Below are 26102 nucleotides of genomic sequence, written 5' to 3'. Positions count from 1 at the left end.
CCCTTAGTTTCCCATAAGGGATTCTTTTAGTTAATTTAATATCTATAGAAACAATGCTAATGACTGGCTTGCTGTTAATAAATACGTGGGTAAATCTCTGTTCAGGGCTCTCAGTTCTGAAGGCTGTGAGACCCCTGATTTCCCACTTCACACCTCTATATTTCTGTGTGTGTGTCTTTAATTCCTCTAGCGCCGCTGGGTTAGGGTCTCCCCGACTGAGCCAGTCTCGGCAGTGTATACCAGGTCATACAGGTGATCTCCATGCTGGCAGATCAGGCAATCCTGTGTCTACATGCCATTTCACTACCCCAGTAGACTTTCTTAAAATATTATTCATAATTGTTAATTCAGAGTGTTTTTGCTTGAGTAACATATTGTTGTGGCTTTTGTACTCCCATAGTTTGGCAAGCAGAAGCATTACAGCTCTTTTGCTTTGAACGTTTGGCAAGTTCCAGGTTCTTGTCCTGCAACTGAGAGGCATAAGGTATGCAGACACCAGAGAGAAGGTAAGGCAGATTAGAATTTATTGAGTGAAAGAAAAGCTCTCAACAGCGAGAAGGGACATGAACATGGGTAGCCATCTGTGAGTCCGCAATTTTTATGGGCTTAGAATTGGGGAATGCATGCTGATTGGTTTATGGGTGGACTTGGAATAGGTGCCATTTGATTGGTTAAAAGGCATCATTCAGAAAGAACCAATCAAGAGAGAGTAAGATAGGATGGAAGACCTCACTCCACTCTGTGGGTTCCTTTTTTTTTTTAGATAGAGTCTTGCTCTGATGCCCAGGCTGGAGTACAATGGCACAATCTCAGCTCACTGCAACCTCTGCCTCCCAGGTTCAAACAATTATCCTGCCTCAGCCTCCCAAGTACCTGGGATTACAGGCGCCCACTACCATGCCCAGCTAATTTTTGTATTTTTTAGTAAAGAAGGGGTTTTGCCAATTTGGCCAGGCTGGTCTTGAACTCCTGACCTCAAGTGACCCACCTGCCTCAGCCTCCCAAAGTGCTGGGATTACAGGCATGAGCCACTGCACCTGGCCCAGTCTGTGGATTCTATCCCGGACTGGTAGCTCAATTTTCAGGCTTTAGACAGCCCTTGGCTTGAAGGTGGAGTTTCACTGGGGACCTGTCCCTGTCTGCCTAGGAATTTGCCTGTCTCCTGTCGCTATCAACATCAAGTACAATCTTTCTTTTCCCCAATACAGCTTTATTGAGGTGTAATTGACTAATAAAATTGTAACTGCATGAGGTGATAGATGGGCTAACTTGATTGTTGTGTTCATTTCACAATATATACCAATATCAAATAATCACATTGTACTCCTTAATGGAGGAAGAGTACTTAAGTATACAATACAGTATTATTAATTATAGTCACTATGCATTAGATCCATGGAATATATTCTACACATCACTGAAAGTCTATACCCTTTTACCAACATCTCACAGTTTTCCCCACTCCCTATCCCTTGGCAACCACAGTTCTGCTTTCTGAGTTTGACATTTTAAGATTTTACATGTACGCGAGATCATACAGTGTTAGCTTTTCTCCAACTGGCTTACTTCACTTAGCATAAATGCCTGCCATGTTTATGCATATTCTTGCAAATGGAAGGATTTCTTTCTTGTTTAAGGCTGAATAATATTTCATTGTATACACACACCACATTCTGTTTATCCTCTCATTCAGCAGCAGACACATAAATTGTTTCCATTTTTTTGGCTATTGTGAATAATGCTGCAATGAACATGGGAGTGTGGATATTTCTTTGAGATACTGATTACATTGCCTTTGAAGATATACCCAGAACTACGATTGCTGGGCTTTATTGTAGATCTTTATAATTTTTTCAGGAGCCTTTATAATGTTTTCCACAACTCTAAATTGTTTTCCAAATGTACCAATTTACATTCCCACCAGCAGTGTACAGAAGTTTTCTTTCCTCCACATCCTCTCCAACACTTGTTATCTCTTATCTTTTTGATAATGTTCATCCTCTTAAGTGTGAAGTGACATCTCATTGTGATTTTAATTTGCATTTTCCTGATAATTAGTGATATTAGAAACATTTCTATATACCTGTTGCCCATTTGTATGTTTTCTTTATATGAGTCCTTTGATCATTTTGTAATCTGAATATTTATTGTTTTTGTGTGTGTTTGTTTGCTACAGTGTTGTATAATTTTCTTATGTATTTCAGATATTAACACATTATCAAATACACGGCTTCCAAATGTTTTTTCTCATGTTACGGGTTGCCTTTTCATTTTGTTAATTGTTTCCTTTGCAGAGCAGAAGCTTTTTAGTTTGATATAATCCAATTTATTTATTTTTATGTTGTCTGTGCTTTTGATGTTATATCCAAAAGTCATTGTCAGGATCAATGTCAAAGAGTTTTTTTCTCATTTTTAGGAGTTTTAAAAATTTCAGGTCATGTAATTAAGTCTTGAATCCATTTTGAATAATTTTGGGGGGAGTGATGTAAAACAGGAACCCAATCCCCTTGGTTTTTTAATACATGGACATCCAGTTTTTCCAATATCATTTATTGAAAAAAAATTTACTTTCCTTAGTTTGTATTCTTGGTACCCTTCTCAAATATTCGTGGCTCCATACACATGGCTGTATTTCTGAACTCTCTGTTTTGTTCCATTTGTTTATGTGTCTGTTTATATGACAGTACCATACTGATTTGATTACTATGGCTTTACAATAGAGTTTGAAATTGAAATGTGTGATGCTTCCATCTTTATTCTTCCTCAAGAATGCCTTGGCTATTTTGGGTCTTTTTGGTTCCATACAAATTTTAAGAATAAATTTACCCAAGGAGGTAAAAGATTTGTACTCTGAGAACTATGACATTGATAAAATAAATTGGAGAATATACAAATTAATGGAAATATCTCCTGTGTTCATGAATTAGAAGACTTATTATTATTAAAAATGCCCATACTCCCTGCTACAGTTTGGAGATATTTTCCCCCAAACCTCACGTTGAAATTTGATCCCCAATATGGGAGATAGGGCCTAACGGGAGGTGTTTGAGTAGTGGGGGTGGAATCCTAGTTAATGGCTTGGTGCCATCCTTGTGGTAATGAGTGAGATTTTGCTCTATTAGTTCCTGTGAAAGCTGGTTGTTAAAATAAAAACATTAAAAAAGGCTGGTATCTCCCCGTCCACTGCTTCTTTTTTTGCCATGTGATCCCTGCATATATTGGCTGTCCTTCTCCATCTGCCCTGACTGGAAGGAGTCTTAGGAACTCACCAGAAGCAGATGCTAGTGCCATGCTTCTTGTACAGCCTGCAAATCTGTGAACGACATAAGCCTCTTTTCATTGTAAATTACTCAGCCTCACATATTTCTTTATAGCAACACAAAATGACTAAGAACTGCCCAAAATGATCTATAGATTCAATGTAATCCCTATCAAAATTCTAGCAGCATTTTCACAGAAATATCAAATACATCATTGAACACCATGTTCAAGGAAATAAATTGAAAACTTCACCTTTCTTTGATGAAGAAGCTATACGAGACAGTAATAGTATCATGTGATTCCCCATTAGACAGATCTACATTTCAAAGGGCAGGATTTATTTTCCTCTTTTTTCATTTTATTTATTGATGTAGCCTGAAAATCAAGAACAGTGATGGGAATGTACTAGCCATTCAATAAAGTTTTGTTGAGTAAATAAATAAGTTTTCATTTCAGCTCTGTCAAATACTGACTGTTTTACATTGTAGAAATTATTTAATTTCTCTAAATGTGTTTTCACCAAGTGTGAGACTTGTAGTATTCCATTATAAACTGCAGGAAGATGCAAGAAGATTCTTTTGAAAATACATAGAGTGATACCAAAATGTAACCCACAGAGAGAAGCAAAAAAAGTTACATATTCATAGTTTAAGATCTTAAGCATTTTTTTTAAAAAAAGATGGGGTGTATACCAGAATGCCTATAGCCATAATAGTAAGATTTTGCAAGAACTGTGTCTCTTGACCTAATTCTCAAATAAGTGTTTCAATGAATAAAAAGATTTAGCTTATAAAACCAAAGCGGAAATGATATGCCAGTGTGGAGATCTTTCATGTGTGAGAGTATCAAAGTATAAGGATATTATTGGGTAAACCTTCAGTAATAATCTTCAGAAATAATTTGGTTATGCTTTTAGACAATGTTTTGGCATAAATATTGCAAGTGTTCCATCTATGTCTAGTATCTTCTGGTTCCCATTGAAATTCATTTCTTGTACTACAAAGGGAAAGATAATCTTTTGATTTTTTGACAATCCCATAAGCTTGTATGTTTAAGTTCATGGGACCTAATGTACTGAAGAAAGAAAATATGAATTATGCTGAATCATTTTTATCCTTCTGTATTATGATTTATATACCACAAGCAAATATTTATCAGGGAATTAACTTGGTGTCTTTCTTTGTAACTGTACTATTATTCTTGACACATACATCCTTTGCATTTTCTTTTTTTTTTTTTGCAACTTATGTCAGTTAGATAATGATATTTATAAGATAACTTTATTTTCAGAGATAAATTACTCAATTATTTGCTGAAATATATAAAGCTCACATCTAGTCTTCAGGTTTTTATTTGAAAGGGTGATACTTTATTATATTTCTCTTTGAAATCCACTTTTTCTAGTGTGGATATAGAAAAATTAATCTTTCTTTAACTAGTGTTAACATGGTTCATATTTTCCAACCCAAATAAAGTACTTTAATATATTTATGTTTTTATTTAAAGAATGTTGCTTATAAGCACCAAATACTTAATCTTTGCTTTTATATCCTATCTGATAATCTTTGTCTTTTTTATTGGAGTGCTGAGATTATGTACATGTAATGCAATTGATATGATTAGTTGTGTGTATCATCTTCTATTTGTTTTCTATTTGCCTCAACTTATCTTTATTACTCTTTTTCACTGTTCTATGATTTCATTTCATCTTGTTTGTTGACCTATTATAATAACTCTTGTCATTACTGTTGTTTTTTAAAGTTGATGGTTAAGATTTATGGTACACATCTTTATCCTAGTCTACATTCAAGTGATATTATACCACTTCATGCAAAAAAAAAATTCTGTGGAAAGGAGGCTGCTGCCCTCCAGACACCAGAATTGTAGAGCAAACAGCAGCATTCAATCTGAAAAGCTGTAGGCATTGAATTCTAACCCATGGAAATAGCCATGTGGGCTGCACCCAGGAAAGCCATGGGACAGGGCTGCCCAAGTTTTTGGAGGCCCATTCTTTCCACCAATATGGGATATGGAGTCAAAAGCAATTATTTTACAGCTTAAGGATTTAATGACTGCTCCATTGTGTTTTAGACATGTATGGACCTGTTACCCCTTTCTTTTGTCATGCCTCCATTTTGGAATGGGAATGTTTACCCGATGTTTCTTCCACCATTGTATCTTTCAAGTTAATAACTTGTTTTTCATTTTACAGGCTTATAGCCGGAAGAAACTTGTCTTGAGTTTCAGATGAGACTTTGGACTTAGGACTTTGGGGTTGGTGCTGGAAAAAGTTAAGACTTTTGGGAGATTTTTGGGAAGAAATTGTTGTATTTTATAGTGTGACAAAGACGTGAGGTTTAGGGTACAAGGGTGGGATGCTATAGTTTGGATATTTGGCCCTCCAAACCTCCCTATTGCTGAAGGTGTGGCCTAATGGAAGGTGTTTGGATCATGGAGACGGATCCTTTATAAATGACTTGGTGCTATTCCTGCAGTAGCAATTGAGTTCTCAATTTGTTGGTTCCCAGGTATGTTACTTCCACTGAGAGTTCCCTGAGAGCTGGCTATTAAAAAGAGCCTGGCATCTTCCCCCTCTTTTTTGCTTCCTCTCTCACCATGTCATCACAGACCAGATTCCCTTTGCCTTCCGCCATGAGTGGAAGCAGCCTAAAGCCCTCACCAGAAGCAGATGCTGATGCCATGCTTCTTGTACAGCTGCAGAACTGTGAGCTAAATAAACATATTTTCTTTATGAATGACCCAGCCTCAGGTAATCTTTTACAGCAACACAAAATGGACTAAAACAATGTTGCTCCACTGTCTTTTCACTTGCAAGGTTCTTGGTGATAAGTCTGTTCTCATCATTATCTTTGCTTCTCTGTCTTTTGTGCTCTGGCTTATTATTTTAAGATATTCCCTTTATCACTGGTTGTAAGTAATCTGATTATGATGTGTTTCTGAGTACTTTTAATCATGTTTTCTGTTATGTTAATTTTCTTGAATTTTTTGGTTAGAGGTTTCATCAAAATTAAAAACTTTGGACATTATTTCTTCAAATGTTTGTTGTATCACTATTGCTCTTCTTTATTGGTGGGGGGTTTCCAATTACATATTGCTTAAAGTTTTTCAACAGCTTACTGATGGTCTTCTCAATTTTGGGCTTGTTTTTTTTTCTCTGTGTTTAATTTTGAATGGGTTTCTTTGCCATGTCTTCAAGTTTACTAATCTTTTGCAAAGTTTAATTTGCCATTAACACTATTCGGTGTTATTTCACTTCAGATATCACTATTTTTATCTCTAGAATTTCTATTTGATTCTTTTAAAAATCTTCCATGGTTCTATTTAACTTTTCAGAAATCTGAAACTCAGATGTATTAACTATTTACTATCCATGTCTGCTAATTCTAATATCTGCATCATTACTGGGTCCCTTTTGATTAGTCAGTTCTTATCCTTATTATAGTTTGTATTTTCCTGCTCTTAACTAGCAATCTTTAATACATTTCTGGACATTTTTGAATTCTAGCTTGTTGAGTGCTGAAATTTTTTGTATTCCTATAAATATTCTTGCATTTTGTTCTGGGACATGGTTAAATGGCTTGGAAACCATTTGATCTTTTTATATTTGATAGGTTAAACTATAGCAATATTGTTCTAAGGCTCATTATCCCCCATTATGAGGGCAAGAACCTTCTTAGTGCTCTACTGAATGCTCCACTAATCATGAGGCTTTTTTTTTTCCTCTAGTGGGAACAGGCACAACCACCAGCCATTTATGTGCACTTTAAACTACTACCACTAACCCTCAAAGAGGTTCTTTCTCCATTGTCAGGTAGTTTCTTAAATTCATGTGCCAATTAGCACTCTGCTAAATATTTGAGAAGTGCCCCTCAAAATCTAGAATTCTCTCTTCACAGAGCTCTCTCTTCCCTGGGATTGTGTCCTGTGAACTATAGCCTCCCCACTCCTCCTTTTGTCTCTCTGGACTCTTTATCTCCTCAACTCATAGAATCCATCTGCTTTTTACTGGATTTCCCCTCCCTGCAATTTGGCAAAAAAAAAAAAAAAAAAAAATCAAGATAGTACTATAATAAGCTGAGACATGAGTAGGGTTTACCTCATTTGTTTTCCATCTCTGAGGAAACAATATCGATCAATATCAACATCAATATTTGTCTCCTATACCACGTGAAAAAGTATATTTTCTCAATTAAAAATAACTCTACCCCAATTTATGTTACAATTACATGTCCTCTTTCTACTTTCCTCTACAGAAAAGTCTGAAGAAGAGTTTTTTACTCATTATCGCTATTTCCTTATTCTTTATTAAAGCTACTCTAGTCAAGCAATAGCTCTGAAAACTCTCCCTTAATGTAAGATTTTCTGGGGACTCAGTCTTTAATCTTTTCTTAAGTTCCATTTATACTCCTTCCCATTGTGATCTCATTTAATGCCTTGCCTTTAAATAATATCTATATCCTTATCATTCCAGGTTTTAAACTCTCTGCCCAGAACTGACCCTGAAATTTGGGTCAATAAGAAAAAATATCTAACTTAAAATTCAGTATTTTTAATTGTGTTTCTAACAGCAGTCTCAGACTTAAAAATGCACATGTGATCTTTCAATTCCAAACCTCTTCCTCTTTCAGTCTTTTCTACTTCAATTACAAAATAATTATTTTACCTACATAGTCCTTAAACTCTGGGGTCATATTTGACTCTCCTCTAACATATCTTCATGCAGTTAGCAAATTCTGTTGACCCTGTTCTTAAATTATTTCTCGAATCTGACCAATTTAGCAATTTCTTGCTATCAGTTTGAAAAAACACACTATCATGTCTTGCCTAAATTACTGTAATTAGTTTCTGACTGGTCTCTGTGCCTCTATTCTTTGCTCAATTTATCCTGTTCTAAACTGAGCATCTAGAATCATCATATTAAAGATATGAATAAGTCACATTTGTGGGGAAAGTCCTCCAATGATGTTTCATTGCTCTCAGAGTAAAGTCAAAGTTCTTGTTACGACCTATGGGTCCTCATGCAATTTGAACCTAAACTGATTCTTTGACTTAATCTCTTTATTTTCTAATTCTTTGATTCTGCTTTAGTCACACTGGTCATCTTGTGATTTATTTTTCTTTTTTTAAAGTAGGCAGTCTGTCAGTGTGGGAGTTCTTAACACAAACAAAATAAGTTGCCAACATCCAGTTAATTAATTGAAAGGAGGGCTTCTATTCTGGTTGGTATAAGAACTGTTAAAAGGTCTGGGAAGTGGTGAAAGAAATAAGCCTGTGCCTTGTTGCAAAAAGTAGACCATTTAAGATCAGGGCAGTTTAGTGGACACAAAAACTCCCGTGACTTATTCTACTTTCCTGCTGCTGCATCCAGAGAAACAGAAAAAGATCCTCTTAAGGTGATAGATCTTAAATTGATGATTTGCTAATATCTCTGCTCAAAAGTGAGTCAAGAACTGGAAAGTGCTAACCTTGTAGGTCAAAGTTTTCATATGATTTTTCTTGGAGAATACCGATTCTCCACTTTACTATAATCTTACTAAGAATGTTTGAACATCACATGTAACCCATAAATATATACAATATGTACTCATAATAATTAAATTTTTTTAGTTGAAAAGAATGTCTAGGTAGTGGCTAGTAAATCAATATTTTAAAGAAGCTTATTGTATAATTTTTATGCTTATCAAGGTGCAATCCTAGCTGCACAAAAAATTTTCTGGTGATTTTTTTTAACGCCAATAGTCAAGAATAACCTCAGAAATTTGAGTCAAAAAGGAGCAAGATTGAGAACCCATGGTCAAACATAGGTAGAGATTAATATTTCTTGAATGATTAACTTATTAAAATATGAATTATTATATACCTACAATCATTGACAATTTTGTTGTCTCATTCTTTTTTCTACTATATTTTGTCACCACAAGGAAAAGATTAAGAAGCAAGTAACTCACTTTCACATTGTATTTCGGAAAGTCCTCATTATTTATTTGCTGCAATTTTTACCCTTGTTCTGCCTTTGCCTTCTTAGGAAAACCAGAGTCATCTTTCTAGAGCATAACCAATTATATTATTTCTATATCTAATAATGTTCCCCTTTATTAATCAAGAGCCTTTTGGTTGTAAGTGACAGAAACCCAACTCAAGCCAGCTAAATTTTTTTTAAAAAGTTAATTATTGGCCAACATAACTAAACAGATTAGAGCTGAATGTAAGATTCCATAGAATTATATTTCTTTCTATTTTTCAGCCCTAATGTTTTCTGTTGGCTCATTTCTTAGTCATGCACTTTCCTGTAATTCCAAAATCACTTTTTCCCAGTTTAGCATCCTTGGTAATCTAAGCAAAATTTCTAGGATTAACCCAGATTTATCCAATTTGAGTCATACATAGATTTATTTTATAGCCAAACTATGGCCAGTTATATACTGATCTGATTAATCAAGTATGGACCTCTCATGAGTGTACATTTTTTTGTTTTTTAATATATCTGTTCATATATGTTTGCTCCACCCAAGACATGTAGATTGAAAGTGACAAAGGAGTAGTTTCCCAGAAGACAAATAGAAGATTTTTACTAGGAGAAGAAAGGGAAACCTATGGAAGACAAAAATGACACAACAGAATATATTTAGAATAGTTTAATTAAAGCCTTATGCTAGTCCAAAACCTATTATTATTTGTACCCTATTTATCTCGAAAGCCCTAAAGGCAGTACTCCCCTCCCTTCACCCAATATTTCAGTCACATTGAGCCATTTGTTTCTGGAACAAGCCATAGTCATTTATACACCTTCCTTTGTGTGTGGTGTTTTTTGTATTAAGACTACTAGCCAAATTTCTTTTTCTCTTTCAAGGCATATATTTCAATTATCTATTGATATGTAACAAACTATTCCAAAATTTAGTGACTTTCAAAAACCATATTATTTGCTCATGAATTTGCAATTTATCAACACTTGGTAGAAGCATCTCCCACCTCTGCTTAATATAGTGTCAGCCAGAGTAGCACGGAGAGCTGGGGACTACCAGGAAGAAGTTGACTTGGGTTATACATCCATGACTTAAGTTGTCACTGTCAAATGGGTGTTTAACTGGAGCCATTCACAAGGACATCTTTGTTCTACTCCATGTGGCTTGGTTTTCTCATAGAATGGCAGCTAGACTTCAATGGGAAGAAGTGCAAGCTGCTTGACTTTTTAAGACTTGGAAGCCCCCAAACGTTACTTCTGCTGCATACTATTGGTCAAGAAGAGCTACAAGTCCAATTTAGATTTACAGGGAGGGAAAATAAGCTCTCCTATTTATATGAAGAACATCTGGGGAGCAGCCTACATATTTAAGTGGTGGTGGTGATGTGATAGGAGGTTTGTAGGGCTCTTCTTTGAAGATCACCTGCTGTGGCATAAGTGAAGCTTAAATATCTCAATTTTCAGTCAGGCTTTTTAATTAATTAATTTATTTTTAATTAATTATTATTTTTTAATTGAGATGGAATCTTGCTCTGTCACCCAGGCTGGAGTGTAGTGGTACAATCTCAGCTCACTGCAACCTCCGCCTCCTGGGTTCAAGCAATTCTCCCACCTCAGCCTCCTGAGTAGATGGGATTACAGGCTCATGCTGCCATGTCTAGGTAAATTTTTTCTTTTTAGTAGAGACAGGGTTTCGCCATGTTGGCCAGGCTGGTCTCGAACTCCTGACCTCAAGTGATTTGCCTGCCTCGGCCTCCCAAAGTGCTGTAATTAGAAGTGTGAGCCACCACGCCCGGCCTAGACTGTCTCAACCTCTCAAAATCACCAAGTAAAGTAAATTATTTTCTTGTCTTCATTCTTTTAGAGGAGTGTTTTTATAGTATGTTTACAGATTTGTTGAGGAAATGAATAGGCCCATTACAGAAAATGAAACAAAATATATAAATTTGGAAAGGACTTACCTAATAAACAGATTTCCCTATTGCAGAAATCCTGAGAATTTGTAATATACTAATGTGCCTTGTGATCCTCCCAGGGATAGAATGTAAGTTGGATAAGGCACAGGGAGAATTATAAAGTAGAACACTTCTCAATATATTTGACTGAGAATTTGTAATATACTAATGTGCCTTGTGATCCTCCCAGGGATAGAATGTAAGTTGGATAAGGCACAGGGAGAATTATAAAGTAGAACACTTCTCAATATATTTGACTGAGAATTTGTAATATACTAATGTGCCTTGTGATCCTCCCAGGGATAGAATGTAAGTTGGATAAGGCACAGGGAGTATTATAAAGTAGAACACTTCTCAATATATTTGACTTGGACTCCTTATATAAAGCAATTTCTGGGACAAATATTTTATAACACAGGTTTTAGTAAACCTGCCTTACCATTTTTACATTATAATTATTTGACTAATTATCTTAATTCTATTTGCAATCTTAACTCCGTTTGCCAGGCAAACTAATTGTAACAGGTTCTAGGATGGGGAGATCTTTTGGAGGAGGACATTATTCTTCCTAACACAATAAAAATATGCAGGAACAACATAGTTTTCGTATATATATACCCAAAGACAATCAAATTACATATGTGTGTGTATTATATATATGAATATATATAAAATATAATATATAAAATTTATATACAAAAAAATTTTATATATATATAAAAAACACTGTAACACTGTGGCTCCCCAATCATGGGAATTTTGTTGTCTTTGTCATTTTATTTGTAATACCTATTCCAGGGCCTAACATACAGTACACATTTAGTAAACATTTTAGAAAGAAGAAATAAAGAAAAACAGGGAGGTTGGAAGAGAGGAAAGAGAACTGTAAAACCCTTCATTATGTAAACACAGTCTTGATATATGCAATCTGACCATTTAGGCAATGCCTAATTCATTTGTTAGAACTCAGTCCTTCTGGGAAGATTATTTAGGGAAACTTGTCATGATTTCAGGCTGGCTAAAACTAGGCTGCTCCTGCATATTTCCATTACAGTATGAAGAATAACATCACCCTTAAAGGTGTCTACATCCTAGAATCAATTATAGTTAATCTGGCAAAGAGAATTAAGGTTGCAGTGGAATTAAGTTTGCTAATCAGTTGTCCTTAGAGAGGGAGGCAGGCGACAAACCAGAGCATCATGGTGTGAGAAGGACTTGGTCAGATGTTGCTGGCTTTGAAAATAAATGAAAAGGACAATGAGCCAAGAAATGTGGGTGACCTTTAGAGCCTGGAAAAGGCAAATAAGTGGATTCTCTCCTATAGCCTCCAGCAAGAAAACATTCCTACCAATACGTTAATGTAAGTTTGGTGGAACCCATTTTGGATTTCTTACTTCTAGAACTGTAATATAATAAATTTGTATTGTTTTTAAGCCACTATGTAGTAATTTGTTACAGCAGCCACAGAGATATAGACCAATGGAACAGAACAGAGCCCTCAGAAATAATGCCACATATCTACAACTATTTGATCTTTGACAAAACTGACAAAAACAACCAATGGGGAAACGATTCCCTATTTAATAAATGGTGCTGGGAAAACTGGCTAGCCATATGTAGAAAGCTGAAACTGGATCCCTTCCTTACACCTTATACAAAAATTAATTCAAGATGGATTAAAGACTTAAATGTTAGACCTAAAACCATAAAAACCCTAGAAGAAAACCTAGGCAATACCATTCAGGACATAGGCATGGGCAAGGTCTTCATGTCTAAAACACCAAAAGCAATGGCAACAAAAGCCAAAATTGACAAATGGGATCTAATTAAACTAAAGAGCTTCTGCACAGCAAAAGAAACTACCATCAGAGTGAACAGGCAACCTACAGAATGGGAGAAAATTTTTGCAATCTGTTCATCTGTCAAAGGGCTAATATCCAGAATCTACAATGAACTCAAACTAATTTACAAGAAAAAAACAAACAACCTCATCAACAAGTGGGCAAAGGATATGAACAGATACTTCTCAAAAGAAGACATTTATGCAGCCAAAAGACACATGAAACAATGCTCATCACTGGCCATCAGAGAAATACAAATCAAAACCACAATGAGATACCATCTCACATCAGTTAGAATGGCGATCATTAAAAAGTCAGGAAACAACAGGTGCTAGAGAGGATGTGGAGAAATAGGAACACTTTTACACTGTTGGTGGGACTGTAAATCAGTTCAACCATTGTGGAAGTCAGTGTGGCGATTCCTCAGGGATCTAGAACTAGAAACACCATTTGACCCAGCAATCCCATTACTGGGTATATACCCAAAGGATTATAAATCATGCTGCTATAAAGACACATGCACATGTATGTTTATTGTGGCACTATTAACAATAGCAAAGACTTGGAACCAACCCAAATGCCCAACAATGATAGACTGGATTGAGAAAATGTGGCACATATATACCATGGAATACTATGTAGCCATAAAAAATGATGAGTTCATGTCCTTTGTAGGGACATGGATGAAGCTGGAAACCATCATTCTCAGCAAACTATCGCAAAGACAAAAAACCAAACACTGCATGTTCTCACTCATAGGTGGGAATTGAACAATGAGAACACATGGACACAGGGTGGGGAACATCAGACACCGGGGTCTGTTGTGGGTGGGGGGAGGGGGGAGGGATAGCCTTAGGAGATATACCTAATGTTAAATGAGGAGTTAATGGGTGCAGCACACCAACATGGCACATGTATACATATGTAACAAACTTGCATGTTGTGCACATGTACCCTAAAACTTAAAGTATAATTAAAAAGAAGAAAAAAAAAAGAAAACAAATACTTTCATGGATAATTGCCATATTTTTAATTGACCAGTAAATGAAAATAAATTATATAGAAGCAACAATGGCACAACCCTGATTACACCATTTATTTTAATGGATTAATTTTTAATTATTATAAATTCTACTATGTAGTATGTTAGTAAATACACAATACACAACAGTACACTTTTTAAAAAATTACTAACCTACATTAATAGAGAATCTCAGTATGGTTTTGGTCCTTTGGTTATTCATAAGAAAGGTACTACAGCAAAGCATGAATGAGTATTTGAGGACTATGGAAATTATTTAGGCTATATAATTCCAGGAAGCATTGTTTTTAAGGATGCTATTCAGCATACAGAAGCACAGTAGAAAATATTTTAAAAGAAAAAATACACATTTCAAAATGTGTAAATTTTAATAAGATATAAATAATTCCTTAAAGGGTATTCAATTATTTAAACTTCCTTTCTTCAAGTAGCCATTGAGTATCTACTGTGTCATGGTGTAAGATGGGGTAATATACTGATAATTAATACATGGTCTCCTAAGGTTCAGATCCCTTATTGAAGGAAACAGACAAATATTTAATAGGAGTAAATGAGGCTCTAATAATAAGTAAAAAGTAATATAAAATTTCAGATGAGATTTTAACTATTCAGAATTTTTAAAAAGACTTTGACCATTGAATAATATTTCACTGAGCCTTCAAAGTTTTCAGATGAACATAGAAAAATATATTCAAGGAAGGGGAGAAGTTACTCACAAAAGTATTTATACCTCAGAAATGGCTGAGATATGGAAAGTAACTTGTGGCACTTGGATAGAGACTGTGTATGGCTAATGGAGGCAAGATGGAAAGGATGGAGCATATTGAAAAATTATCCTGGAAAATCATGTAGGGGCTAAGAACATGAAAGTCTTCAGAAACATATTAAGAATGTTGTACTTCTTCTGGAAGAAAATGGAAAACAGTTAAAGAACTTTTAAACTGACATATAACATAACAAATTTGCTTCAGAGTAATTTAAAGGTGATGACGATTGAGAGATGTTACTATTTAATAAAATGAATGAGGGAGGATAGAAGGTAGGACTAGCTTGCAGCTCCCACTGGGACAGACAGAGCAGCATGTGGAAACTCACATGATAAACTCTTGCTCCAAGAACTACCACCACAACATAACAGGAAAGCTGAGAGAATCCACAGACCCTTTGAAGAAACTGGTCATTGCTGCAGGCTTTCTGAGATGCCAAAAAAACTGTGAGTTGGCTTGCTTTCTCAGAGGGGAGGCTGGTGGTTTGGGGCAAGTTCTCAGCCCTGGTCAACAGCTGCCTGGAAATAGACTCAGTGCTGTTTGTGGGGTACAGTGGGAATGAGATTGGCCTTTAGGACTGTGAGCTGCAGGGGGTGGGGTGGGGCCTGTGACTGAGGGCTTTCCCCCATTTCCCTGGTGACCTGTATGACACAGCAGAGGCCGCCATAATCCCCCTTGGAATATAACTCCATTGGCTTGAGAACCACACCCGCATTCCCCACAGCAGCTTCAGCAAGCCCCACCCAAGGAGAGTCTAAGCTCAGACACACCTAACCCTGCCCCCACCTGGTGGCCTTTCTCTACTGGCCCTGGAAGCGAAAGACAAAGGACACAATCTCTTGAGAGCTCCATGGCCCTGCCCACCTCCTGAGAAAGCTGAATACTTAACCAGCCCACCCTAGGGCAAGTTTGCTTTCTCCCTATAGTACCACAGCTGATGCACTCTGGAAAGCACTTGTCCTGGCTGCACACCAATCAACACTAAACAAAAATACAATAAAGGACTCTAACATAGAGTCCACCTCATGTCCCTCGTGTGTTCACCAGAGCAGATGCTAATATCCAAGGCTGAAAGACCTGAAGACAGATCGCATCACAGGACTCTTTGCAGATACTCCCCAGTACCAGCCCAGAGCCTGGTAGCTCTGCTGGGTGGCTAGACCCAGAAGGGTAAAAACAATCACTGCAATTTGGCTCTCAGGAAGCCCCATTCCTATGGGAAGTGGGAGAGCACCACACCAAGGGAGCATCCCATGGGACAAAACAATCTGAACAGCAGCCCTTGAGTCCTAGATCTTCCCTTTGACATAGTCTACCCAAATGAGAAGGAACTAAAAAACAATTCTGGTAATATGACAAAACAAGTTTCTTTTAACATCCCCAGAAGATCACACCAGATTACCAGCAATGAATCCAAACCAAGATGAAATCTCTGAATTGCCAGGAAAAGAATTCAGAAGCTTAATGATTAAGCAAATCAAGGAGGCACCAGAGAAAAATGAAGTTCAACTTAAAGAAATCAAAACTAAGCCGGGCATGGTGGCGGTGGCTCACGCCTGTAATCCTAGCACTTTGGGAGGCCAAGGCAGGCAGATCACGAGCTCAAGAGATTGAGACCATTCTGGCCAACATGGTGAAACCCCATCTCTACCAAAAATAGAAAAATTAGCTGGGTGTAGGGGTGCACGCCTGTAGTCCCAGCTATTCAGGAGGCTGAGGCAGAAGAATCACTTGAACCCAGGAGGCAGAGGCTGCAGTGAGCCAAGATCATGCCATTGCACTCCAGCCTGGGTGATAGAGAGAGACTCCATCTTAAAAAAAATAAAAAAAGAAAAAGAAAGAAAATAAATCAAAAACATGATACAGGATATGAAGATATGAGAGAAAAAATCTTCAGTGAAATAGCATAAATAAAAAACAATCACAACTTCTAGAAATTGTGATTTTGAGAAAGGACACACTTAGAGAACTGAAAAATGCACTGAAAATCTCAGCAATAGAATCAAACAAAAAGAAGAAAAACTTCAGAGCTCAAAGACAAGGCTTTCAAATTAACCCAATCCATCCAAGACAAAGAAAAGTCTGGAAAATTTATTTGAAAGAATAATTGAGAAAAACTTCCCCGGCCTTGCTAGAGAACTACAAATTCAAATATAAGAAGCTCAAAGAACATCTGGGAACCGCATCACAAAAAGATAATCACCTAGGCACATAGTCATCAGGTTATCTAAAAGCAAGATGAAGGAAAGATTCTTTTTTAACATTTTTTAAAAATTTTTTTGGGATGGAGTTTCACTCGTGTTGCCCAGGCTGGAATGCAGTGGTGTGATCTTGGCTCACTGCAACTTCCACCTCCTAGGTTCAAGTGATTCTCCTGCCTCAGCCTCCTGAGTAGCTGGGACTACAGGCATGCACCACCACATCTGGCTAACTTTGTATTTTTGGTAGAGACAGGGTTTCTCCATATTGGTCAGGCTGGTCTCAAACTCCTGACCTCATGATCTGCTTGCCTCGGCCTCCCAAAGTGCTGAGATTACAGGCATGAGCCACCGCACCTGGCCAGAAAGATTCTTAAGAGCTGTGAAGCAAAAGCATCAGGTAACTTATAAATGAAAACCTATCAGCATAACAGCAGATTTCTCAGCAGAAACCCTACAAGCTGGAAGGAATTGGGGTCCTATTTTTAGCCTCCTTAAAAAAAACAATTATCAGTCAAGAGTTTTGTATCCAGTGAAAGTAAGTTTTATAAATGAAGGAAAGATTCAGTTTTTTACAGACAAACAAATGCTGAGATAATTTACCACTACCTGGTCAGCACTACAGGAACTCCTAAAAGAAACTCTAAGTCTTGAAACAAATCCTCAGAATACACCAAAATAAAACCTCCTTAAACCATAAACCTCACAGGACCAATATAACAATAACACAATGAAAAAAAGATATTCAGGCAACAAATAGCACAATGAATAGAATAGTACCTCACATCTCAATGCTAAGGTTGAATGTAAACGGCCTTAATGCTCCACTTAAAAGATACAGAATGGCAGAATGTATAATAATTCACCAACTAAATTTCTGCTGTCTTCAGGAGACTAACCTAACACATGAGGACTCACATAAACTTAAGGAAAAGGAGTAGAAAAACATATTCCATGAAAATGGACACCAAAGGCAAGCAGGAGTCACTATTCTTATAACAGACAAAATGAACTTTAAAGCAATGAAAGTTAAAAAAGACAAAGAGTGATATTATATAACAATAAAAGTTCTAGTCTATTAGGAAAATATCAGAATCCTAAAAATCCTAAGAAATCCTAAATAAATACGTATCTAACACTGAGCTCCCATATTTTTGAAACAGTTACTACTAAATCTAAGAAATGAGATGGACAGCAACATAATAAGAGTGGGGGATTTCAATACTCCCCTGGCAGCACTAGACAGGTCATCAAGACAGAAAGTCAACAAAGAAACAATGGATTTAAACTATATCCTAGAACAAATGGACTTAACAGATATTTACAGAACATTCTACCCAACAACTGCAGAATATACATTGTGTTTATCAGCACATGGTACATTCTCCAAGATTGGGCACAAAACAAGTTTCAGTAAATTTAAGAAAATCAGGGTTATATCAAGTAATCTCTTAGACCACAGTAAAATAAAATTGAAAATCAACTCCAAAAGGAACCCTCAAAACTATGCAAATATATGAAAATTAAATAACCTGCTTCTAAGTAATGGTTGGATCAACAATGATATCAAGATTTCATTGGAACTTCGTTGGAATTTAAATTTCAAGGAAATTTAAAAATTATTTGAACTTAATGATAATAGTGACACAACTTATCAAAACCTGTGAGACACAGCAAAAGCAGTACTAGGAGGAAAAGTTCATAGCCTAAAATGTCTAAATCAAAAAGTCTGAAAGAGCACATATAGGCAATCTAGGGTCATGCCTCATGGAACTGGAGAAACAAGAACAATCCAAACCCAAACCCAGAAGAAGAAAAGAAATAACAAAGATCAGAGCAGAACTAAATGAAATTGAAACAAAAAAAATACTAAAGATAAATGAAACAAAAAGATGGATCTTTGAAAAGACAAATAAAATTGATCAACCATTAGCAAGATTAACCAAGAAAAGAGAGAAGATCAAAAAAAGCTCAATTAAAAATGAAACAGGAGATATTACTACTGGTACTACAGAAATATAAAAGATTATTCAAGGCTACCATGAACACCTTTACATGCATAAACTAGAAAACTTAGAGGAGATGGATAAATTCCTGGAAATATACAACCCTCCTAGATTAAACCAGGAAGATTTGGAAACTCTGGACAGACCAATAATAAGCAGTGAGATTTAAACAGTAAATAAAAAATTGCCAACAAAAAGTCTAGGACCAGAAGGATATACAGTTGAATTTTATCAGACATTCAAAGAATAGATACCAATCCTATTGACACTATTGCACAGGATAAAGAAAGAAGGAATCCTCCCTAAATCATTCTATGTGGCCAGTATCACCCTAATACCAAAACCAGGGAAGGACATAACAAAAAAGAAAACTACAGACCTTGATGAACGTAGATGCAAGAATCCTCAACAAAATACTAGCTAACCAAAATCCAATAGCATATCAAAAACATAATCCACCATGATCAAGTGGGTTTTATTCCAGGGATGCAGGGATGGTTTAACATTTGCAAGTCAATAAATGTGATACACATCACATAAAGAGAATAAATACCACATAAATAGAACAATCATCACATGGTCATCTTTATAGATGCAGAAACAAGCATTTGACACAATCCAGCATACCTTTATTATTAAAACCCTCAATAAAATTGGCATGGAGGAGACATATAAGATAATAAAAGCCATCTATGACAAGCTCACATCCAACATTATACTGGACAAGTAAAAGTTGAAAGCATTCCCCCTGAGCACTAGAACGAGACAAGAATGCCCACTTTCATCACTTCTATTCAACATAGTATTGGAAGTCCTAGCAAGAGTAATCAGACAAGGGAAAGAAATAAAGGGCATCCAAATCAGTAAAGAGGAAGTAAAACTGTTGCAATTTGCAGATGATACGATCATATACCTAGAAAGCCCTAAAGACCCATTCAAAAGTCTCCTAGAATTGGTAAATAATTCAGCAAAATTTTAGGATAAAAAAATTAATGTACACAAATCAGTAGCTCAGCCAAGCACCAACAGTGATCAAGCTGAGAATAAAATTAAAAATTCAACCCCATTTACAATAGCTGAAAAAAAAAAAAAAAAACAACTTAGGAATATACCTAACAAAAGAGGTGAAAGACCTCTACAAGGAAAACTACAAAACACTGATGAAAGAAATCACAGATGACACAAACAAATAGAAACACATCCTATGCTCATGGATGGGTAGAAATCAATATTGTGAAAATAATCATAGTGCCAAAAGCAATCTACAGAGTCCATGCAATTCCCATCAAAATTTCACCATCATTCTTCACAGAACTAGAAGAAAATAATTCTAAAATTCATATGGAACCAAAAAAGAGCCCGCACAGCCAAAAAAAAAAAAAAGACTAAGCAAAAAGAACAAATCTGGAGGCATCACTTTACCTGACTTCAAACTATAGTATAAGGCCATAATCACAATCACCAAACCAGCATGGTACTTGGATAAAAATAGGCACAAAGACCAATGGAACAAAATAGAGAACCCAGAAATAAAGCCAAATACTTACAGCCAACTGATCTTGAACAAAGTAAATAAAACCATAAAGTGGGGAAACGACACCTTATTTCAACAAACAGTGCTAGGATAATTGGCAAACCACATGTGGAAGAATGAAACGATTTTCATCTCTCACCTTATGCAAAAATCAACTCAAGATGGATGAAAGACATAAATCTAAGACCTGAAACTGTAAAAATTCTAGAAGATAACATTGGAAAAACCCTTCTAGACATTGCTTTAGGCAAATACGTCATAACCAAGAAGCCAAAAGCAAATGCCACAAAAACAAAGATAAATAGATGGGACTTAATTAAACTAAAAAGCTTCTGCACAGCAAAAGAAGTAATCAGCAGAGTTAACAGACAACCCACAGAGTGGGAGAAAATCTTCACAATCTATATTGACAAAGGACTAATATTACTCAGCAATATAAAGAAATGAAACAATGGCATTTGCAGCAACCTGGATGGAATTGGAGACTATTATTCTAAGTGAAGTAACTCAGAAGTGGAAAACCAAACATTGTATGTTCTCAGTCATAATTGAGAGCTACGCTATGAGGATGCAAAGGCATAAGAATGATACAATGGACTTTGGGGACTCTAAGGGAGGTGAGGGATAAAAGACTACACATTGGGTGCAGCATACACTGCTTGGGTGATGGGTTCACCAAAATCTCAGAAATCACCACTAAAGAACTTATTCATGTAACCAAGCACCACCTGTTCCTCAAAAACCCATCGAAATTAAAAATTAAAAATTATATATGTGATAAATAATTAAAAATATTTAAAAACTAAAATGAATCACGATCACATGATGAAAACCGAAATAAGGAAGGTGGTGGTTGGTTGAAACTCTGGAGATTAAGAAAATAGACATTGAAGAGGCAGATGCTGTAGGATTTGGTGACTACGAAAAGCTGGAATGAAAAACAATTCTAATGGTTATAGTTTAGGCAACTTGTGAAACTATTCTCTTTCTTTTTTATTCTTTTCTTTTTTTTGAGACAGTTTCACTCTTGTTGCCCAGGCTGGAGTGCAATGGTGCAATCTCAGCTCACTGCGACCTCCACCTCCCGGGTTCGAGCAATTCTCTTGTCTCAGCCTCCCAAGTAGCTGGGATTACAGGCATGCACCACCACACGCGGCTAATTTTGTACTTTTAGTAGAAACGGGGTGTCTCCATCTTGGTCAGGCTGGTCTTGAACTCCTGACCTCAGGTGATCCACATGCCTCAGCCTCTCAAAGTGCTGGGATTACAGGCATGAGCCACCGAGCCCGCATATTCAGATATCAGAATAAGGCAAAACATACATATTGTTTATCATAGTTAGGATTCTTTTTCATGTCAATAATAGAAAATGCAAATCAAATTTGTTATATAAAATAAGGAAATATAGAGTTTTATCAATCTGATTGCAATAAGAACTGTAAAGAGGCTTGAGGCAGTGAGTCAAATAATGTGATTAAAAATAGTTTATATTGGCCAGGCACGGTGGCTCACACCTGTAATCCCAGCACTTTGGGAGGCCGAGGTGGGAGGATCACCTGAGGTCAGGAGTTCAAAACCCGCCTCTACATTGAGAAACCCTGTCTCTAACAAAAATACAAAATTAGCTGGGCATGATGGTGCATGCCTGTAATTCCAGCTACTCGGGAGGCTGAGGCAGGAGAATTGCTTGAATCTGGGAGGCGGAGTTTGTGGTGAGCCGAGATCATGCCATTACACTCCAGCCTGGGCAACAAGAGCAACACTCCATCTCAAAACAAACAAACAAACAAAAACAAAAATAGTTTATATCTTTTTTCAACTCTGCTTCCATTGCTATTCTCTTTACATTCAGAGAACTGCCTCCAACAAATAGTTTTGCATGTGAAATCTTGCTAAATAATGTCTTAATGATTGTTTTCTATTTTTCATAATATTTATATAGAAAAAAATAGGTCTCAATTCCGTTCATTTCTAGAACCGAAAATAAATGATTACAATTTAAAGTAAGAGCCCCCTGAATGTATGCTTTCCAAAATTTAGAATTATACTAAAAAAATAAATTTTAAAAAATGTATTACTTTTATACTGATAAAATACACACAACATAAAATTTACCATCTTCACCATTTTCAAGTACAGAGTTCAGTGGTTTTAAATATACATGACATTGTTCAGCAATCACTAACATCAATCTCCATAACCCTTTCTTCTTGCAAAACTAAAACTGTGTCCATTAAACTGTAACTTCCAATTTCCCTGTCCCAACAGCTCCTGGTAACCAATATTCTACTTTATCTCTGTGACGTTGACTATTCTACTTTATATAAATGCAATCATGCAGGATTGGTCTTTTTGTTCCTGATTTATTTCACTTACCAATAATGTTTCCAAGATTCATCATAGTTATAGAATGTGTCGGAATTTCCTTCCTTCTTAAGGCTGAATAATTTCTTGTTGTATGTATATACCACATTTGCCTTATCCATTCTACGAATGGATACTTGGGTTGCTTTACATTTTAGCTGTAATGAATATTGGTGCTATGAATGTGGGTGTGCAAATATCTCTTTGAGAGCCTGTTGGTAATACTTTTCGGTATATACACAAAAATGGAATTGCTGGATTGTGTGGCAATTTTATTTTTATTTTTTTAGGCAGCATACTGTTTTCCATAGCAGCTGTATTATTTTTATTTCCAGTGCACAAGTTTTCAAAGTTTTTTACAACATCCTTGCCAACACTCATTTTCTGTTTTTTTAATTTTTGATAATAACTATTCTAATGGGTGTGTTGATATTTTATTGTCGTTTTGATTTGTATTTATATAATGATCATGAGGTTGAACATCTTTCAATTTTCTTATGGATCATCTGCATATCTTTAGAGAAATGTCCATTCAAATATTTTGCTCATATTTGAATTGGATTTTGTTATTGGGTTTTAGAAGATCTCTATATATTCTTGATTTCCGTAACTTACCAGATACACGATTTGCAATTTTTGTCCAATTTATGGGTTACCTTTTCACTTTGTTGATAGTGTTTTTTTGGTGCACGTTTTTCAATTTTTATGAAGTCCACATTTCTCTACATTTTTTTTCTTGTTGCTTGTGCTTTTGATGTCACATACAAGACATTACTGCCAAATCCAGTGTTGGAAAGACTTTGACCTAGATTTTCTTCTAAGAGTTTTATAGGCTTATGTCTTATGTTTTGAACTTTGATTCATTTTGTTTTGCATATGGTGTTAGGTAAGGATTCAACTTCATTTTTTTGTTTGTTTTGTTTTGCATGCGAACATCCAGCTTTCCCAGCATCATTTGTTGAAAAACTGTTATTTTCTCATTAAATGGTCTTGGCATTCTTGTTAAAAATCATTTGTTCATATGAGTGGTGGTTTATTTCTGGGTTTTTATTCTATTCCATTGCTCTATATGTCTGTCTTTATGCCAGTAGCACAGTATTTTAATTACTGTATATTTGTAGTGAGTTTTGAAATAAGGAATTTTGAGTCCTCCAGGTTTATTTTCATTCAATATTGTTGTTGCTATTCAGCGTTCCTTGAGATTCCATATAAATTTTAGATGGCCTTTTCTATTTTTGTAAAAAAAGAAAAAAAAAGGTCATTGGAATTGATACAGCTTGCAGTAAATCTGTAAATTACTGTGTGTCTTGTTGACACCTTTATAATATTGTCTTCCAATTCATAAATGCAGGATACATTTTCATTTACTTATGGCTTTTTAAATTTTTTTAGCATTTTTTATAGTTTGAACTTATAAGGCTTTTATCACCTTAATTCCTAAATATCTTATTCTTTTTTAAAAAAACAGCTATACTGAGATATAACAAACAGGCAATGCAATTCACTTACTTGATATATATAATTCAAGTTTTTACTATAATTGCAGGGTTTTACATTGGCCACCATGATGCACTTTTATAACATTTCTGTCTCTCAAAAAAAAAAAAAAAACTCCGTATCCTTTAGCAGTCATTCGTATTTCAATTCAACCCATCTCCCAGCCTTAGGCACCCTTAATCTACTTTCTATCTCTATTGATTTGTCTTTCTTGGACATTTAATATAAAAGGATATAAGTATTTTATACTTATTATGATATGGTAAATGAGATTTTTTCACAATTTCTTTTCAGATTGTTCATTCTATATAGTGTATTATAATACTTTGCCAAATTATTTTCTTTAATAGTTGTAAAATTTTTGTAGAATTTTAAGGATTCTCTACATATAAAATTATATAATCTACAAACAGACATCATTTTCTTTCTTCCTTCTCAATTTGGATGCTGCTTAAATAGTTACTTACATTTCAATTTTTTTTCCTAATTGCTTTGGTTAGAACTTCCAGAACAATGTGGATTATAAATGGCGAAAGTGGGAATCCTGGCCTTGTTTCTGATTTTAGAAAAAAGGTCTTTATCCATCAAGTAAAATGTTTGCTGTGGGCTTTTTTATATATGGTTTTTATTAAGATAATGTAGTTTGCGTGTATTTCCAGTTTGTTGAGTGCTTTTATTTTATTTTTTATTTTTTATTTTTTTTATTGGATGTGTCTTGGTTTCTTTCTTTTTTATTATTATTGTACTTTAAGTTTTAGGGTACATGTGCACAACGTGCAGGTTAGTTACATATGTATACATGTGCCATATTGGTGTGCTGCACCCATTAACTCGTCATTTAACATTAGGTATATCTCCTAATGCTATCCCTCCCCCTCCCCCCACCCCACAACAGGCCCCGGTGTGTGATGTTCCCCACCCTGTGTCCATGTGTTCTCATTGTTCAATTCCCACCTATGAGTGAGAACATGAGGTGTTTGGTTTTTGGTCCTTGTGATAGTTTGCTGAGAATGATGGTTTCCAGCTTCATCCACATCCCTACAAAGGACATGAACTAATCCTTTTTTATGGCTGCATAGTATTCCATGGTGTATATGTGCCACATTTTCTTAATCCAGTCTATCATTGTTGGACATTTGGCTTGGTTCCAAGTTTTTGCTATTGTGAATAGTGCCACAATAAACATATGTGTGCATGTGTCTTTATAGCAGCATGATTTATAATCCTTTGGATATATAGCCAGAAATGGGATGGCTGGGTCAAATGGTATTTCTGGTTCTAAATCCCTGAGGAATCGCCACACTGACTTCCACAATGGTTGAATTAGTTTACGGTCCCACCAACAGTGTAAAAGTATTCCTATTTCTCCACATCCTCTCTAGCACCTGTTGTTTCCTGACTTTTTAATGATCACCATTCTAACTGATGTGAGATGGTATCCCATTGTGGTTTTGATTTGTATTTCTCTGATGACCAGTGATGATGAGCATTTTTTCTTGTGTCTTTTGGCTGCATAAATGTCTTCTTTTGAGAGGTGTCTGTTCATATCCTTTGCCCACTTGTTGATGGAGTTGTTTGTTTTTTTCTTGTAAATTTCTTTGAGTTCCTTGTAGATTCTGGATATTAGCCCTTTATCAGATGAGTAGATTGC

General features: G+C 35.8%; 1 long non-coding RNA gene across 1 annotated transcript in view, besides 1 other annotated feature; it reads right to left on the bottom strand.

Annotated features, from left to right (window-relative positions):
• The window catches only part of LINC01499 (long intergenic non-protein coding RNA 1499), a 121875-nt gene that overhangs the window by 66353 nt on the left and 29420 nt on the right, over positions 1-26102 (bottom strand). The window lies entirely within an intron of this gene.
• Positions 15019-16218: an enhancer, noted in NCBI's record as "CDK7 strongly-dependent group 2 enhancer chr11:41775422-41776621 (GRCh37/hg19 assembly coordinates)". NCBI's record gives its function as "activates an origin of replication core promoter dependent on BRD2, BRD4, P300/CBP, MED14 and CDK7 cofactors, with strong dependence on CDK7, by STARR-seq in HCT116 cells {active_cell/tissue: HCT116}" and the evidence as "EXISTENCE:reporter gene assay evidence [ECO:0000049][PMID:35650434]".

This window comes from Homo sapiens, chromosome 11 (assembly GCF_000001405.40).
Source record: "Homo sapiens chromosome 11, GRCh38.p14 Primary Assembly".
Lineage (NCBI taxonomy): Eukaryota > Metazoa > Chordata > Mammalia > Primates > Hominidae > Homo > Homo sapiens.
Note: the sequence above shows the minus strand (reverse complement) of the source record. Positions and strands in the feature narration are given on the sequence as shown.